This window comes from Homo sapiens, chromosome 1, assembly GCF_000001405.40.
Source record: "Homo sapiens chromosome 1, GRCh38.p14 Primary Assembly".
NCBI lineage: Eukaryota > Metazoa > Chordata > Mammalia > Primates > Hominidae > Homo > Homo sapiens.
The window spans coordinates 155,788,276-155,808,068 of NC_000001.11; the positions used below are offsets into that span (position 1 = coordinate 155,788,276).

The following is a 19,793-nucleotide window of genomic DNA, read 5'->3' on the forward strand; positions in this document are numbered from 1 at the left end:
CGCCACCATGCCCAGCCAACAAAAAAAATTAAAATCCAAATGTTACTGAGGATGTAGAGCAACCAGAACTCTGATAAGAATGTAAAATGGAAAGCCACTTTGGAAAATGGTCTGGCAATTTCTTATAAAACTAAACATACCCTGTGACCCAGTGATTTGTCTCCTATACAGCTGACCCAAGATAAATGAAATACGGCTTTTCTAACTCATAGGTGGGAACAAATGAAAGAGAGAGAGAAATGAAGCATTTCCACAAAGACTTGCACAAAAAAGTTCAGCGCAGCTTTATTCGTTACCCAAAATTAAAAATAGCCCAGGTGATCAACACAAAAATAGATAATCTGTAGTATATATACACAACGAAATTCTACTCAACAATATAAGGGAACAAACTAACGACCCATGCAACACAAATGAATCTCAAAAATATTATGCTGAGTGAAAGAAGCCTTACACACAAAGCACATCCTATATGATTCCATTTATGTGAGGTTCTAAAACTGGCAAACATAACCTGTGATTAAGAAAAAAAAAGCCGGGCGCAGTGGCTCACGCCTGTAATCCCAGCACTTTGGGAGTCCAGGGCAGGTGGATCACAAGGTCAGGAGATCGAGATCGCCCTGGCTAACACGGTGAAACCCCGTCTCTACTAAAAATACAAAAAATTAGCCGGGCATGGTAGCAGGCACCTGTAGTCCCAGCTACTCGGGAGTCTGAGGCAGGAGAATGGCGTGAACCTGGTAGGCGGAGCTTGCAGTGAGCCGCACCACTGCACTCCAGCCTGGGTGACAGAGCGAGACTCCGTCTCGGAAAAAAAAAAAAAAAAAAATCAGAACAGTGGTTGCCTCTGAAGGGATGGTGTGGGGATTGACTTGGAAGGGGCATGAGGAAACTTCCTGGGGTGAGGATTCTATATCCTGACAGGGATTTGTGTCACATAGGTACACACATGTCAAAATTCATTAAATGGTACACTTGAGATGTGTGTGATACACTGTGTGTAAAATTACCTATAAAAAGAAATCATAAACAAATATGGAGCTCTAGTTCATTATATGCGTGCTGAAGTGGTTAAAAGTGAAGTATAGGCTCATGCCTGTAAACCCACCACTTTGGGAGGCAGAGGTGGGAGGATCACGAGGTCAGGAATTCGAGACCAGCCTGGCCAAGATGGTGAAACCCCGTCTCTACTAAAAATACAAAAAAAAAGTGACATATAGCCAGGTGCCATTGTGCACACTTGTAATCTCAGCTGGTCAGGAGGCTGAGGTGGGAAGATCGCTTGACCGCAAGAGTTCAAGACCAACCCATGCAACATAGACCTTGTCTGAATTTAAAAAAAAAAAGAAAAAAAAGTGAAGTATAATTTACTCTGAAATGCATTTGAAAACTAAGATGCATCCACAGACGGACAGGGAGATGGACAGCTGCATGATAAGGCAAATAAAGTCATCCCTCAGTATCTGTGGAGGTTGGTTCCAGGAGCCAATCTCCTGGAACCATTTCGTATCCATGGATACCAAAATCTGAGGATGCTCAAGTCCCTTATATAAAAATGATGTAGTATTTGCATATAATCTACACACATCCTCCTGTATACCTTATCTCTAGATTACTTATCACCTAATACAATGTAAATGCTTGTTATACCTTATTATTTTTTATTTATTTATTTGAGACAAGCTCTCACTCTGTCACCCAGGCTGGAGTGCAGTGGTAGTGGTATGATCACAGCTCACTGCAACCTTGAACTTCTGGGCTCAAGGGATCCTCCTGACTCTGTCTCCAGAGTAGCTGGGACTACAAGCACACACCAATGCACCCAGATAATTTTTTTTTTTTGAGACAGCGTCTCACTCTGTTGCCCTGGCTAGAGTGCAGTGGCGCGATCTCGGCTCACTGCAGCCTCCGCCTCCCAGGTTCAAGCGATTCTCCTGCCTCAGCCTCCTTAGTAGCTGGGACTACAGGCGTGAGCCACCACACCCGGCTAATTTTTGTATTTATAGTAGAGATGGGGTTTCACCATATTGGCCAGGCTGGTCTCGAACTCCTGACCTCGTGATCTGCCCACCCTGGCCTCCCAAAGTGCTGGGATTACAGGCGTGAGCCACCATGCCCGGCTGCACCCAGATAATTTTAAAGTTTTTTGTAGAGATGGAATCTCAGTATGTCGCCCAGCCGATCTCAAACTCCTGTGCTCAAGCGATCCTCCTGCCTCAGCCTCCCAAAGTGCTGGGATTACAGATGTTAGCCACTACGCCCAGTTAGTATTATTTTTTGCTGTTGCATTTTTTTTTCTCAGAATATTTTCAAGGTTGGTTGAATCTGCAGCTGTGAAACCCGCACATATGAAAGGCGCACAGTTTATATTAACACTACTGAAAGTTTGGCCGGGCACAGTGGCTCACGCCTGTAATCCCAGCACTTTGGGAGGCCGAGGTGGGCGGATCACAAGGTCAGGAGATCGAGACCATCCTGGCCAACATGGTGAAACCCTGTCTCTACTAAAAATACAAAAATTAGCTGGGCATGGTGGCGCGTGACTATAATCCCAGCTACTCGGGAGGCTGAGGCAGGAGATTCACTTGAACCAGGGAGTCGGAGGTTGCAGTGAGCTGAGATGGCGCCACGGCACTCCAGCCTGGAGACAGAGCGAGACTCCTTCTCAAAAAAAAACCAACAAACTATAGAAAGTAGGTGGTGAGGCTGGGCGCAGTGGCTCGCGCTTGTAATCCCAGCACTTTGGGAGGCTGAGGCGGGCAGATCACCTGAGGTCAGGAGTTCGAGATGAGCCTGGCCAACATGGTGAAACCTCTTCTCTACTAAAAATACAAAAAGTAGCCGGGCATGGTGGCAGGCGCCTGTAATCCCAGCTACTCAGGAGGCTGAGGCAGGAGAACCGCTTGAACCTGGGAGGCGGAGGCTGCAGTGAGCCGAGATCACACCATTGCACTCTAGCCTGGGGAACAAGAGTGAGACTTCGTCTCAAAAAAAAGTAGGTGGTGAGTATATGAATGTTAGCTGTATAATTTTTCAATTTTTCTATATATATTTTTAAATTTCATAATAAGATGTAACAGGGGAAAAGTTTAAAGAAAATAAATGCTAGAATCCAGAGAAGAGTAATGTGCATGGTGAGAGGTCTGGACACCAAGGCTTTGGAGAAGAAGAAACCTGGCAGAAGAAACTTGAAACTTTCCTATGTTTTGCATAGGGAAAAAAAAAAAAAAACTTAAGAAACATCTTTTAATATGTACACTTGGGAATAAATTGCTTTTTTTTTTCTTAACAACAAAAGACAAATAGGAGGCCGGGCACAGTGCGGCTCATGACTGTAATCCCAACACTTTGGGAAGCCGAGGCAGGTGGATCACCTGAGGTCAAGAGTTCAAGACCAGCCTGGCCAACCTGGTGAAACCCCGTCTCTACTAAAAATACAAAAATTAGCTGGGCGTGGTGGCGGGCACCTGTAATCCCAGCTATTCTGGAGGCTGAGGCAGGAGAATCGCTTGAACCCAGGAGGCAGAGTTTGCAGTGAGCTGAGATTGCACCATTGCACTCCAGCCTGGGCGACAACAGCGAAACTCCATCTCAAAAATAACATAACATAACATAACATAACATAACATAACATAACATAACATAACATCACATAACATAACATAACATAAAGACAAATAGGAGGAATATAAAAGGATTGATCTTCCTGCTTTGCATTCAAATTTGGGTTCAATAAGGAAAGTATCTGAATTTGCATTCAGATTTGGGTTCAATAAGGAAAGTATTAATTGAGGAGGTGTTCAAGTTTACAATACACTATCTGCAGAATTGTTGAGCTCCCTGTCACTGAAGGTATACAAACAGGACTAAAAAGGCCACCTCAGAGGAGGTGTAAACAAATTCTCAAGCGGGCAAAAAACATGTGACCACATGGAGCTTTTCAAACTCTGTGATTCTATGCTTTTTAATTTTTTTATTTTAGTTATCCATATAAGGATAAGTCCTTTTAAAGAGATTATAATCAAATATGACAATGAGACACAAGAGGACAAGAGGCAGAAAAAAAAATTAAAAATTCTACTCCAGCTTTCACTATCATTACAGAACTGTATGACTAGAAAGACTGCCCTTCATTTACCCATCTCTATTCGACTGGCAAATATTGCCACCAGCTTTACAGCAATAAACAAAACAAAGCTCTTGAGAAGTTCACAGTCTAGGGGAGAAGACAGATATTAAATAAGCAATTATGAGGTGATCAGTATATAAAAGGACAAAAAGAGTGGTACGGGAATGCAAAGCAAGAAGATCAATCCTAACGAAGGAGGATCTCCCTGAGAAATTATACGTAAACTGAAGAAAGTAACAATCAAAAAGGGAAGGCAAATATATTCCAGGATGATAGCTGAACTTAAGATCTGCTTTTGTGCTTTAAGCAGATGTTTCTTTACTTGTTTCTTTACTGTTGACCATTCTGTCCTTCTTGAAAGACTCTTTTTTTGAAACAGGGTCTTGCTCTGACCCAGGCTGGAGTACAGTGTTGGGATCTCTGCTCGCTACAGCCTCCACCTCCTGGGCTCAAGTGATCCTCCCACCTCAGCTTCCCAAGTAGCTGGGACTACGGGCATGCACCACGACAACTAATTTTCATTTTATTTTTAAAATGTTTTTGTAGAGACAATGTCTCACTATCTTGCCCAGGCTGGTCTTGAACTCCTGGGCTCATGCGATCCTTCTGCCTCTGCCTCAGCCTCCCAAGTGCCGGGATTATAGCCATGAGCCACTGTGCCCCAGCCAAAAGACTCTTCCTTTGGTTTCTACGACACTAGATTTTCTAGGTTTTTCTTGTACCTTCCTAGATTCTCCTTTCAGTTTTCTCAAAGCCTAAATCCTCAAACCTTTTCATTCTACATTTTCTCTAATTCCTGGTGCTTTCCTTTCAATGCTTCCACTATCCCTGTCATAGTATATCAAAATAAATGAAAGATCTTCACAAAGGAAATGGTATTCTAATCTTAAAAGCAAGGTGAAAGGCACAATAAAGCAATAAAATAAAATGTAAGTTCTAAAGGATTGTATTTACATAATTCTCTTTACACAAAGAACTGCATTAATTAGGTATATCTTGGATGTTTATAAAGCTCTCTGCATAACCTGGTCAAGAGCCAGCATCTTACCTTCTCCATGTCGTGTATATTATTCCAGTACAGGGTCATGCATACATGCAATAAAAATCAATGGCTTATGAAATATATTTTTTATTTTTCTTTCTCCCCATAGGTAGAATTTCTTCAGGATGAAATGTATGTTTTCTATGCTTGACACACTAGCCAATGATATAATTTTTTTTTGAGTCAGGATCTCCCTCTGCCACCAAGGCTGGAGTGCAGTGGCACTATCATAGTTTGCTGAATCCTTGACCTCCTGGGCTGAAGCAATCCTCCTGCCTCAGCCTCCTGAGTAGCTAGGACTACAGGTACGTGCCAATACATTAGGCTAATTTCTTAAATTTTTAGTACAGACAAAGTTTCTCTATGTTGCCTATGCCGGTCTCGAACTCCTAAGCTCAAGCAATCTTCCTGCCCCAGCCTCCCAAAGTGCTGGGATTACAGGTGTAAGCCACCACTCCTAGCTCAATGATATAATTTTTTATAGAAATAACTCAAGCTAAGTTATCATAATTGTTTTCCATACCTCCAGTCTTGTTCACTTTACCTAACAAATTAATACATTAAACTGGTATTAAATCAAAGTGATCTTTCTAAAATCCAAATCAGTTCCTACTGATTTACTGCTTAAACCTCTTTTTTTTTTCAGGCGGAGCCTTGCTCTGTCGCCCAGGCTGGAGTGCATTGGCGTGATCTCGGCTCACTGCAACCTCTCCCGCCTGAGTTCAAGCAATTTTTCTGCCTCAGCCTCCGGAGTAGCTGGGATTACAGGTGCCTACTACCACGCCTGGCTAATTTTTGTATTTTTAGTAGAGACAGGGTTTCGCCATGTTGGCCAGGCTGGTCTTGAACTCCTAACCTCAGGTGATCTGCCTGCCTCCACCTCCCAAAGTGCTGGGATTACAGGCGTGAGCCACCATGCCCGCCCTTAAACCTCATTTTGAGAGCTTAAAAATCCTCCATGATGTAAACACTACCTAATCTTATCTACCACTTCTCTGTCTTTTCACTCATACACCACCACCAAAGTACTTAGTATTTTCCAAACATACTTTTTTGATGTTTTACAATTCTGTGGTTTGCAGATGCTCTTCTATTTGCAATATTCCTCTCTGTCCCTATTCACCAAATTTCTTATTCCTCCTTCAAAACTAAGATAAAAAGCCATTTCATTCTGCAAATTCTTTCCTAAGTTCTCCTATCCTAGTCCATATCATACACTAGGAGATGACACTCTCTTTTAGGTCATTATTATACCTTATGTAAAACCTGTTACAGCATTTATCACTTTGTATTGTAACTTTTTCTGTTTCTATCACCCTACTAGGCTGAACTCCTACAGCACAGATGCCATGTCTTATTCATCTTGCACAATCCCTGCCAAACAGTAAGGACTGAATACACGACTGTGGGATATACAAATGAATAACTGATGGGCTTTCTGAATATGTACCTAAATTTAAAGAATCAGATCAATAAATGGGTAAAGGAAACCTAAATGTCTTAACATGGATGAGCTGCAAACTTCACCCCTAAAAATCTACAAAGTAAACAAAGACAGCTGCAAAGCAGTCAAGAGCAGGACTTAGAATAAACACAGACTCACTGGTGATTCTCACTGCCCGGTCAGTCCGGAAATCCTCTGTGTCTGGTTCATCGAGGTCTTCCAGGAAATTATATTCTGGATCATCATCATCATCTGCTTCATCTAGGAAAAAAAAGTGTTTCAGATGCTCATTAACTCTGTTCTCAAACTTCTAAGAATCTGTTCCAATAAAGCACATTTATTCTTTATTTTTTTGAGACAGGGTCTCACTCTGTCGCCCAGGCTGGAGTGCAGTGGTACAGCCTCAGCTCACTGCAACCTCCACCTCCCGGGCTCAAGTGATCCTCCCACCTTAGCCTCCTGAGTAGCTGGGACCACAGGCATACGCCACCACACCCAGCTAATTTTGTGTAGTATATTCCATGAAAATAATACTTTCTGTAAAAGCTACTTGTACAGTGAAGCTGACAGTGAAAAAAGGAGTGGCCCAAATTCCCAACAATTAGAGAATGACTATATAATTATAATTTCTTAGTATAAAATAGTACAGGTTGAGCATTCCAAATCCAAAACTCCAAAATCTGAAACTCTGTGAGTGCAAACATGACTCTCAAAGGGAATAGCCATTGGAGCATTTCAGATTTCAAATTTTCTTTTTCCTTTTTTTTGAGACAGGGTCTCACTCTGTCACCCAGGCTGAAGTGCAGTGGCACGATCATGGCTCACTGCAGCCTTGACTGCCCAGGATCAGGCGATTGTCACACCTCAGCCTCCCAAGTAGCTGGGATTAGGCACATGCCACCATGCCCAACTAATTTTTGTATTTTTAGTAGAGACAGGGTTTTGGTATGTTGCCCAGACTGGTCTTGAACTCCTGGGCTCAAGCGATCTGAATGCCTCGGCCTCCCAAAGTGCTGAGATTACAGTGTGAGCCATTGCACCCTGCCCAGATTTCAAATTTTCAAATTTAGTATGCTTATCTGTTAAGTATAATAATACATATATTCTAATATCTGAAAAAATCTGAAATCCAAAATACTTCCGGTCCTGAGCATTTTGGATGAAGGGGATACTCAACACGTACACATATAAAATGTGAATATGTAACCATTCTATAAAAGTTCAATACATGTATGACAAAAGTACAATATATACATAATAATCATAAGCATGAAAAATTATATCCTTACAATAAGAATCATAAATAACTAAAAATATACAAAAATAATAAACATTTGTTAGGTTAGAATAATAGAAATATGGATGTTCTTCTCCCTTTTAATTTTCTTTTTTCTTTTTTTTTTTTGACATGGAGTCTCACTTTGTCACCCAGGTTGGAGTGCAGTGGCATGATCTTGGCTCACTGCAAACTCTGCCTCCCAGCTTCAAGCAATTCTCCTGCCTCAGCCTACCAAGTAACTGAGATTACAGATGCCCACCACCACGCCCGGCTAATTTTTCTATTTTTAGTAGAGACAAGGTTTCACCATGTTGGCCAAGCTGGTCTCGAACTCCTGACCTCAGGTGATCCGCCTGCATTGGCCTCCGAAAGTGCTAGGATTACAGGAGTGAACCACAGGGCCCAGCCTAATTTTCTTTAATGTTAATGCTAAACTGTCTTTTCAATTACTAAGTAAAAATTATGAAGGAGTCATTAAATTATGGAATTATTATATATTAAGGTAATATTTTTCTCCAGATAATTTTAGATCAGTGTTGTCTAACAGAACTTTCTGTGATGATGGAAATGATCTATACATGTATTGTATTGTATCATACAGTAGCCATTAGCCACATGTGACTTGAGAAATGCAGCTAGTGTGACTGAGGAACTGATTTAAAAAAAAAAAGACCAAAAAGAGAATACCTAAATTTCTTACTATCATGTATCCATTAAATAGAAGAGGTGATCTCTATGTATTATAATGGAAAAATATATGTTATACTGCTAAGTGAAAGAAGCAAGTTGCAGATGAAGACCAATATGTATAGTATGATTCTTTTTGTGGAAAAAAATTCTTGTTTGAGATAAATACATGCTTGACTGAACACCCACAGAGTATCTAGAAAGAAACACATAAAACTATTAACAAAGATTTCTCTGTGTACCCTCCCACAATATTTTTTTTTTCTTTCTTTTTTTAAGGTGGAGTCTCGCTCTGTCGCCCAGGCTGGAGTGCAGTGGCTCGATCTCAGCTCACTGCAACCTCCACCTGCTGGGTTCAAGCGATTCTCCTGCCTCAGCATCCCGAGTAGCTGGGACTACAGATGTGCACCACCATGCCCAGCTAATTTTTATATTTTTAGTAGAGACGGCGTTTCACCATGTTGGTCAGGCTGGTCTCAAACTCCTGACCTCAGGTGATCCACCTGCCTCGGCCCCTAAAAAGTGCTGGGATTACAGGCGTGAGCCACAGAGTCTGGCGCCTCTTCCATAATGTTTTAACTTTTCATAATAAATGAGCATCTTTTTTTTTTTTCGAGAGGGAGTTTCGCTCTTGTTGCCCAGACTGGATACCGTGCCTGGCCATAAATAAACATCTTTTGTTATAAACAGACATATACAGCCTGGGGCCAAGCATGGTGGCTCACGCCTGTAATCCCAGAACTTTGGGAGGCCGAGGTGGGAAGATCACTTGAGGTCAGGGGTTCGAGACCAGCCTGGCCAACATGGTGAGACCCCCCCCCTCCCGTCTCTACCAAAAATACAAAAATTAGCCAAGAGTAATGGTGCGTGCCTGTAATTCCAGCTACTTGGGAGGCTGAGGCAGGAGAATCACTTGAACCCAGGAGACAGAGGTTGCAGTGAGCTGGGATCATGCCACTGCACTCCAGCCTGGGCGAGAGTGAGACTCCATCTAACAAGAAAAAAAAAAAAAAACACATATATATATCCTGGGCAACACAGTGGGAACCAATCTCTACAAATGACTTTTTAAAAATTAGCCAAGTGTCGTGGTGTGTGCCTATAGTCCCAGCTACTCAGAAGGCTGAGCTGGAAGGACTGCTTGAGCCCAGGAGTTTGAGGCTGCAGTGAGTCATGATCACGCCACTGCACTCCAGCGAGGGTGACAGAGTGAGACCCTGTCTCAAAAACAAATATATATTTTTTATATAAATATAAATATATATAAATATATATATACTTATACAGACACACATTTAAAATTCACAATCACTGAAAAATCTGTGCTGATTAAACCCTAATCTAACTTGATAATTCTTTACTCAACATTTATACTCAGCTTATAATATATTAATTTGCATTCTTTACACATAACTAATTATCAAATCTTTTTCATCTATTTGTGGGTTTAACTTATCAGTACAGATTCTTTATTTCTTTAGGAATAGAATACTGTCTTCATAATTCATAATCTCTATAGTACTTTCTATATAAGTCTCTTCACAGCAAGTTCTTTTTTTTTTTTTTTTTTTGAGATGGAGTCTCACTCTGTCGCCCAGGCTGGAGCACAGAGGGGCGATCTCGGCTCGCTGCAAGCTCTGCCTCCCGGGTTCACGCCATTCTCCTGCCTCAGCCTCCCAAGTAGCTGGGACTACAGGCACCCGCCACCACGTCAGGCTAATTTTTTTTTTTTTTTTTTTTTTTTAGTAGAGACGGGGTTTCACTGTGTTAGCCAGGATGGTCTCGATCTCCCGACCTCATGATCTGCCTGCCTCAGCCTCCCAAAGCGCAGGGATTAGAAGTGTGAGAGACACTGCGCCTGATCAAAAAGTTCTTAACAAACATTGCTGAATAACGAAAGTTCTGGAAGAGCCCATAATAATGAGTAGTGTGCACAGGTTTGGACTCCATCTGTTTGGATGCAAGAACTGCAATAGATAGTTCTGCCCACACCACACAAATGGGTCAGCGAATATTATTCTCAGAGCACTCATTTAACAAAGATGCTGAAAAATCATTTAGGGGGATTCTTCTGAGTTCTGCTTAGCTTTTAGTACCCTGATTGTGGAATATGTCCTCTGAGCTTAATCACTTTTTTGACTTATTAACAATGTCAGTATTTACCCAGCTGATATACCCCTCCTGTATTGTCTTTTAACTCAACTGGTAGATCTGGAGGCCACACCCATCCTAATCATTGGCTTTGTGTGCTCTTTTAAAAATCTGTCCGAATAGGCACATACAAAAATACTGAAGTTGCTGGGCGTGGTGGCTCACGCCTGTAATCCCAGCACTTTAGGAGGCCAAGGCGGGCGGATCACCTGAGGTTAGGAGTTCAAGACCAGCCTGACCAATATGGTGAAACCCCGTCTCTACTAAAAATACAAAATTAGCTGGGTATGGTGGCATGTGCCTGTAATCCTAGCTACTAGGGAGGTGGAGGCAGAAGAAGTGCTTGAACCTGAGAGGTGGAGGTGGCAGTGAGCCAAGATCACACCATTGTACTCCAGCCTGGGTGACAAGAGTGAGACCCTGTCTCAAAACAAAACAAAACAAACTGAAGTTTTATTTTAAGAAAAGAGGATTTTCACCCTCCCCCTAACCATTAGTCCAATTCCCCAATCAACCTTTATCATGCACTCTTACCTTTCCCAGACCAGTAGTTTCCAATCCTTTAGATATATCAGAATTAGATCCCTAGACCATACTCATTAGATTCTGATTCAGTAGGTAAGGGGTGAAGCCCTGAAATCTGTATCTTTAATAAACATCACCCTACATATCCATACACTCTTCAATTCTGATTCAAGTTCTCGGAACCAAATTATGAGAAACAAAATCCTGAAAGTCAGTTCTGCCTGGCCTTTCCTTCCCAATAGCTACCATCTTAGGCCTTTGAACCAAAGTGATGAAAATGAGCACCAAAGCTGCTGCTACCAATAACGCTAGGAGAACCTGACTTTCTTACTGTAATTATTTTGTATTAGCCTGTGCCAAAGATAAAAAGCACAGCTTATTATGAAGGCTAGGAGCAGTGGCTCATGCCTGTAGTCCCAGAACTTTGGGAGGCCGAGGAGGGCGGATCACCTGAGGTTGGAAGTTCGAGACCAGCGTGACCAACATGGAGAAACCCCATCTCTACTAAAAATACAAAATTAGCCAGGCGTGGTGGCACATGCCTGTAATCCAGTTACTTGGGAGGCTGAGGCAGGAAAATCGCTTGAACCTGGGAGGCAGAGGTTGCGGTGAGCTGAGATCGTGCCATTGCACTCCAGCCTGGGCAACAAGAGCAAAACTCCATCTCAAAAACAAAACAAAACAAAACAAAACAAAAAACACAGCTCATTATGAAAAGTCATATACTTTTAAAAAATGGTTTAGGCCGGGCGTGGTGGCTCACACCTGTAATCCCAGCACTTTGGGAGGCCAAGGTGGGTGGACCACTTGAGATCAGGAGTTTAAGAACAGCCTGACCAACATGGTGAAACCCTGACTCTACTAAAAATACAAAATTAGCCAGGCATGGTGGCACATGCCTGTAAACCCAGCTACTTGGGAGGCTGAGACAGGAGAATCGCTTGAACCTGAGAGGCGGAGGTTGCGGTGAGCCGAGATCGCGCCACTGCACTCCAGCCTGGGGGACAAGAGTGAAACTCTCTCAAAAAAAAATGGTTTAGGCCAGGTGCGGTGGCTCAAGCCTGTAATCCCAGCACTTTGGGAGGCTGAGGCGAGTGGAACAGAAGGTCAGGAGTTCGAGACAAGCCTGGCCAATATGGTGAAACCCCATCTCTACTAAAAACACAAAAATTAGCTGGGCATGGTAGCGCGTACCTGTAGTCCCAGCTACTCTGGAGGCTGAGGCAGAAGAGTCGCTTGAACCCGGGTGGAGGTTGCAGTGAGCAGGGATTGTGCCACTGCACTCTAGCTTGGGCAACAGAGCCAGACTCTGTCTCAGAAAAAAAAAAAAAAAAAAAAAGGTTTAACTTACCGTGAAACCTGTCTGATTGAGACATGTTCCTAGAATATTAAACTGGGTTCTACTCCTAGGAGTATAACAAATTGATTCTGTAACTTTGAGCAAGACAATGAATTTCTCTGAGATTTCACTGCCTACAAAGTGGTTAGAACTATCTGTCCTTGGGCAACCCACTCGGGTCCCCTACCACGTTGTGGAAACTTTGTTCTTTAACTCTTCACAATAAATCTTGCTGCTGCTCAAAAAAAAAAAAAAAAAAAAAAAGAACTCTCTGTCCTGTCTATTCCTTTTTGTGGAGATTTCTGAACCTGGTAGAAACAGGAAGTGTCAATAAACTTTAAAAGATATGTATCTCCCAAAAATCATATAAAAATTTCATGTATTTGGATATGTACATTTTTTTCTGGGGGAAGGCTGCATAGTTTTCATCAGATTGTCAAAGGGGTGAGTAATGGAAAACTCAGAAGCTTAGACTCCTATCAGAATGACTAATGGGATAATATATCAGTTGCTAATTATGAAGGAACTGATTCTATACTTTGCATGTTAATGACTCAGCTTCAAACTCCATCTTTTTCTCCTTACACAATTTTTTTCATTTTGTGGCTTGTTAGCCCCTCTACTACAGAGGGTGGGTAAAAAAAAGAAATATGATAAGATTTAAAACAATTTGCTTCTTGTTATTTTCTCTCTCTTTTTTAAAATTTTATTTTATTTTAAAAATAGAAATGCCAGGTGCGGTGGCTCATGCCTGTAATCCCAGCATTTTGGGAGGCCAAGGAGGGTGGATCACCTGAGGTCAGGAGTTTGAGACCAGTCTGACCAATATGGTGAAACCCTGTCTCTACTAAAAATACAAAGATTAGCCAGGCAAGGTGGCAGGCGCATGTAATCCCAACTACTGGGGAGGCTGAGACAGGAGAATCGCTTGAACCCAGTAGGCAGAGGTTGCAGTGAGCCGAGATCACACCACTGCACTCCAGTCTGGGCGACAGAGCGAGACTCTGTCGAAGAAAAAAAAAATAGAAATGAGGTCTCACTGTGTTTCCCAGGCTGGTCTTGACTTCCTGGCCTCAAGCAATCCTCATGCCTTGGCTTCCCATAGTACTGGGATTACAGGCATGAGCCACCACGCCTGGACTATCTTTTCTAAATGTTTGAGAAAAGTCTTAAATTTAAATTTAGGACTAAAATTTAATTATTTTTATCCCCACATTAATGTGGAAAACTAAAAAGTAACTACACATTGAAAACTCTCACAGATGCATACCAAAGTATTATCAGTAGTCCCTCTGGGGAACCAAACTTGAACCTTGGTGTCAAAGGCTTTGGAAATGACTGGTAGGAAAATGAAGTGCCAATAAATAAACTCTAAGAGATACATAAACCCCAAAAAAATCATATGAAAAATTTCATGTATGTAGATATGTACATTTTCCTTGGGGGGGGGGAAGGCTTTAATTGTTTTATTTCTGTAATATTTGATTTCTTTATACCAAGCATATATTACTCTTACAGTTTTACAGTGAAAAAAGAGAAAACTCTGGAAAGAATATATCCTACAGAATCCAGCATATAGAGTATATCATGTCACTTCTACTCAGATGCCTTCTCTCTTCCCTGTCACTGTTTTCAAAAATCTTTCCAAGGTCCATTTCAATTACCAGCTCTTTCATGTAGCTGTCTCTGATCATCCTAAACAAAAGTTACCCTGTCCTCTTCTAAAATCTTACAACAGCATTTATGCCACTTTGATGGCATATCTGAGTTTATTCAACAACTTCATTCATTTACAATATACTGGCTGAGCGCGATGGCTCACTCCTGTAATCTCAGCACTTTGGAAAGCAGAGGCAGGAGGATCGCTTGAGCGCAGGAGTTCGAGACCAGCCTGGGCAACATGGCAAAACCCCAACTCTACAAAAAATACAAAAATTGGCCGGGCATGATGGCACAAACCTGTATTCCCAGCTATTTAGAAGGCTGAGGTGGGAGAATTGCTTGCGCCAAGGAGGTCAAGGCTGCAGTGAGCTAAGATCTCACCACTGCACTCCAGCCTGGGTGACAGAGTGAGACCCTGTCTCACACACACACAAAAAAGTACAATGTATTGTGAACCTAACAATGGGCCAGGCACCCTGTCATTCATAAAGCTTTTATTCCATGACCAAATGATTATGCTCCTTTATCCCTCACAGATTCTAGCACAATGCCTTGTATAAAGAAAGTACTCAAACATTTGCCAAATGATATACTATATAACTATTAATAGTATCATAAGGTACATTCAAGGACCTGTTATTTTCTTTCATTCACTTATCCTGACTTACTCCTAGCATTACCTACCCAGCCATTTACTCAGTCTATTTCTTTTTCTTTTTTTTTTTTTTTTGAGATGGAGTCTCGCTCTGTTGCCAGGCTGGAGCGCAGTGGCGCAATCTCGGCTCGCTACAACCTTCGCCTGCCAGGTTCAAGTGATTCTCCTGCCTCAGCCTCCTGAGTAGCTGGGACTACAGGCGTGCACCACCACGCCCAGCAAATTTTTTTATTTTTAGTAGAGACAGGGTTTCACCCTGTTGGCCAGGATGGTCTCAATCTCTTGACCTTGTGATCCGCCCGCCTCGGCCTCCCAAAGAGCTGGGATAATAGGTGTGAGCCACCACGCCCAGCCTACTTAGTCTGTTTCCATCCAAACTTTTATCTGATCAATATTTCTTCCCCATTTCTGATAATACCATTACTTCTTTAGGGTCACCACATACTTCAACCACACTGTTCTATGAGGTGCTATCAATCACCAGACTCCATGCTGAACAGTCTCCCTATCAATCCCATGTAGTACCAAGAGACTGGGCATGAGATCAAACCAAGTCGATCTGACTTGTTCCCCTGGATTTTATAACTGGAGCTTGCAGGGGAGAGTCCTGAAGTGTAGACAAAGCAAAAAGTAATCACGGAGTGTTTATGAACAGAGCTCTAACCTTGTAGAAAAATAAATGTGAGAATGGAGCTGAGTGACAAAAGGAAGTAAAATAGAGAGGAAAGGGGGATCCTAACAGTGCCTCAGTTCCACTGCTGATTTACTACACTTCCCAAAGTCTGGTTTCATTTCACCCCAGCAAGATAGAGTTAGGATTCTTTCACTTGCATCATGAAGACCCTTAACTAACACAGTGTTCTTTTGGTAAATCACTGAACCCTAATGAAATCATACATAAAATTTTGAGTGGGCCAGGCACAGTGGCTCATGCCTGTAATCCTAGCTCTCTGGGAGGCCAAGGTGGGAGGATCACTTGAGGCAGGAGTTTAAGACCAGCCTGAGCAACATTTCTCTACAGAAATTTTTAAAAAATTAGCCAGGCAAGGTGGTGCGTGCCTATAATCTCAGCTACTTGGGAGGCTGAGACCTGAGGACGATCTCTTGAGCCCAGGAGTTTAAGGCTACAGTGAGCTATGATCACCCCACTGTGATCCACCCTGGGCAACACCCTGTTTTGGGACAGTGTCTCAAAAACAAAAGACAACAACAAAACTACATGTGCATGTATGTTTCAAGGGATTCAAATCTTAGCATTCAACAATCTTAGGATTCAAAAGATTCCTTACCCAGAAAAAGAAATGTTAAGAATTGGCCCAGGCACGGTGGCTCATGCCTATAATTCTAGCATTCAGGAGGCCAAGGTAGGAGGATTGTTTGAGGCCAGGAGTTTGGGAACAGCCTGGGCAACATAGTGACATCTCGTTTCTACAAAAAATAAAAAATTAGTCGGGCACAGTGGCATGTGCCTGTAGTCCCAGCTACTCAGTGGGATAAGGGGTAGGATTGCTTGAGCCCAGGAGGTCAAGGCTGCAATGAACCGTGACTGCAACACTGCACTCAGCCTGGGTGACAGAGTGAGACCCTGTCTCAGGAAAAAAAAAAAAAGAAAAATTAACTACTGATTTAAGATAAATTATCAGTTAAATACAAATTAAATCAATTAACCCAAACCATTCCATTCTATACCCTTCCAAATACTAAAAATTTTACAACAGATAATGGACAGTATACATAATAAATCACAAACCAAAACTTACCTTCATTCCCCACATCATCATTCATAAGTCCCCCCAGCCACATCTTCCAGTCCTCATCATCTGCCGTATTGGGGTCATACATATCTGGAGTGATGTCTGGAGCTTGGAGCTCTGCCTCTAATTGGCCCAGGGGAACATCTTTCAGGGGCATCTTAGAACGCGTTCGAAATGCAATGAGACTGTCATCCATGGGCTGGACAATGGAGAAAGAAAAGTCACTGAGTGAGTGATGTTTCCAAACCTCATCATCACTCCTTTTCTTCTCATCTTAGCTTAAGTAACAGGATCCTTCCTCTAAACAATTTGGATTTATTATTGTTTGAGAAACTTTAAGAAACACGACATAAAAAAGAAATAAAATAAATGACATCAGTTTGAAACCAACATTTTAGGAAAATTTATAACAGCTTTATTGATATACAATTCACATACCATAAAATTTACCCTTTTAAAGTGTATAATTGAAAGGATTTTCATATATTCACAGAGTTATACAACCATCACCATTATCTAATTTCAGAACATTCCATTAACCCAAAAAGAAATCCCATACCCATTAGTAGTCGCTTCCCTTTCCCCCTCCTCCCAGCCCCTGTTAAGCATTAATCTATTTTCTGTCTCTATGGATTTGTTTCTGCTGGACATTTCACTTAGATGGAATCATAAAATGTGTGGCCTGTCTCTGGCCGCTTTCAGTTAGCATAATGCATTTAAATCCCACCCTGTTGTAATATCTATCAATACTTTTTTTTTTTTTTTGAGACATAGTCTTGCTTTGTTGCCCAGGCTAGAATGCAGTGGTGCCATCTCGGCTCACTGCAACCTCTGCCTCTTGGGTTCAAGTGATTCTCCTGCCTCAGCCTCCCAGGGAGCTGGGATTACAGGCACCAGCCACGACATCTGACTAATTTTTGTATTTTTACTAGAAACGGAGCTTCACCATGTTGGGCACGCTGGTCTCGAAGTCCTGACCTCAGGTATCTGCCCACCTCAGCCTCCCAAAGTGTTCGGATTACAGCTGTGAGCCACCATGCCTGGTGTTTTTTTTTTTTTTTTTAAGAGATAGAGTCTCAATCTCTCACCCAGGCTACAGCACTGGCACAATCAGAGCTGACTGCAGCTTCGAACTCCTGGGCTCAAGCAATTCTCCTGCCTCAGCCTCCCAAGTAGCTGGGACTATCGGCATGCTCTACCATGCTCGGCTAATTTTTTTTTTTTTTTTTAGATGGAGTCTTGCTCTGTCACCCATTCTGGAGTGCAGTGGTACGATCTCGGATCACTGCAACCTCCATCTCCCGGGTTCGGGTGATTCTCCTGCCTCAGCCTCCCAAATAGTTGGGACTACAGGCGTGTGCCACCACACCTGGCAAATTTTTGTATTTTTAGTAGAAATGGGGTTGGCCAGGCTTGTCTTGAATTCCTGACCTCAGGTGACCTACCTGCTCAGCCTCCCAAAGTGTTGGGATTACACGTGTGAGCCACTGGATCCATACTCAGCTAATTTTTTTCATTTTTTGTAGAGATGGGGGTGGGGGGACTCCCTATGTTGCCCAGGCAAGTTTCAAACTCCTGGACTGGGCTCAAGTAATCCTCCTGCCTTGGCCTTCCTAACTGCTGGGATTAAAGGCATGGTGGTATGTGCCTGTGGTACCAGCTACTCAAGAGGCTGAGTCAGGAGAATTGCTTGGGTTTAGGAGTTCAAGGTGACAGTGAGACACGTACCACTGCACTCCAGTCACCATGCCTGGCCCCGAATTCCTTTTTTCACCCAATAATATCCCATTGTATAGATATACCACTTTTGTTTATCCAATTATCTGTTGATGGAATTCAGATTGTTTCCACTGTGGGGCAATTAAGTATAATACCGCTGGCTGAATGCATTGGCTCACACCTGCAATCCCAACACTGTGGGAGGCCCAGGAAGAACTGCTTGAAGCTAGGAGTTTGAGACCAGCCTGGGTAACACAGTGAGACCTCATCTCTGCCACAAACAAACAAATTAGTTGCGTGTGGTGGCACCAATTGTAGTCCCAGCTACTTAGGAGGCTGAAAGAGAAGGATCTCTTGAGACTAGGAGATCAAGGCTGTAGTGAGCCATGATTGCACCATTGTACTCCAACCTAAGCAAGAGAGACATCTCAAAAAAAAAAAAAAAACAGGGCCAGGCACAGAGGCTCACATTTGTACATCTGTAAACCCAGCACCTTGATAGGCTGTGGTGACAAGATCGCTTGAGTCTAGGAGTTCAAGACCAGCTGGGCAACACAGCAAGACCCCCATCTCTACAAAAAATAAAAAGTTAGATGGGAGTGGTGGCATATGCCTGTAGTTCCAGCTATGCAAGAGCCAACGTGGGAGGATCACTTGAACACAGGAGGAGGTTGAGGCTGCAGCAAGCTGAGATCATACCACTGCACTCCAGCCTGGGCAACAGAGCAAGACTCTTATTTAAAATATTTATTTTAAAAAAATGAGGCTGGGTGCAGTGGCTCACACCTGTAATCCCAGACTTTGGGAGGACAAGGTGGGCGGATCACGAGGTCAGAAGATCAAGAACTTCCTGGCTAACAGTGAAACCCCGTCTCTATAAAAAATACAAAAAATTAGCTGGGCATGGTGGCAGGCGCCTGTAGTCCCAGCTACTCAGGAGGCTGAGGCAGGACAATGGCATGAACCCGGGAGGCAGAGCTTGCAGTGAGCCGAGATCGCACTACTGCACTCCAGTCTGGGTGACAGAGCCAGACTCCGTCTCAAAAAAAAAAAAAAAAAAAAAAGAAAATCAGAAAGTGTGAGACCTCCATCTTTGTACTTTTTAAAGACTGTTTTGGCTATTCTGGGCCTGTGCAATTCCACATGAATTTTAGGATTAGACTGTTAATTTCCACAAAAATGGTAGCTGGGATTTGGATAGGGACTGCATTGAATCTGTAGATCAATTTGGGAAGCTCTCCCTAGACTACACTGCATCAACCTGCTAATGGGTTTCTGTTTACCCTCTTGCTTTACTCTAGTCCATTTCCCACACGTTAACCAAAAGGAATTTTTAACATTAATCCAAAAATATCACAAAAATCTTTTCTTATTTATTTATTTTTTTTTTTTTTTGAGATGGAGTCT

The 19,793-nt window shown here is 42.5% G+C and overlaps 1 protein-coding gene across 20 annotated transcripts in view; it reads right to left on the reverse strand.

The window, feature by feature from the left end:
• Window positions 1-19,793, reverse strand: part of GON4L (gon-4 like) — a 114,320-nt gene that overhangs the window by 43,164 nt on the left and 51,363 nt on the right. For all 20 annotated transcript variants that reach the window (XM_047423299.1, XM_006711394.5, XM_047423284.1 and 17 more), the window contains exons 11-12: window positions 16,674-16,866; window positions 6,775-6,876 (exon numbers count right to left, since the gene is read on the reverse strand). In XM_047423299.1, coding sequence (XP_047279255.1) covers window positions 6,775-6,876; window positions 16,674-16,866 — 295 coding nt within the window. The remainder of the gene's footprint in view (window positions 1-6,774; window positions 6,877-16,673; window positions 16,867-19,793) is intronic.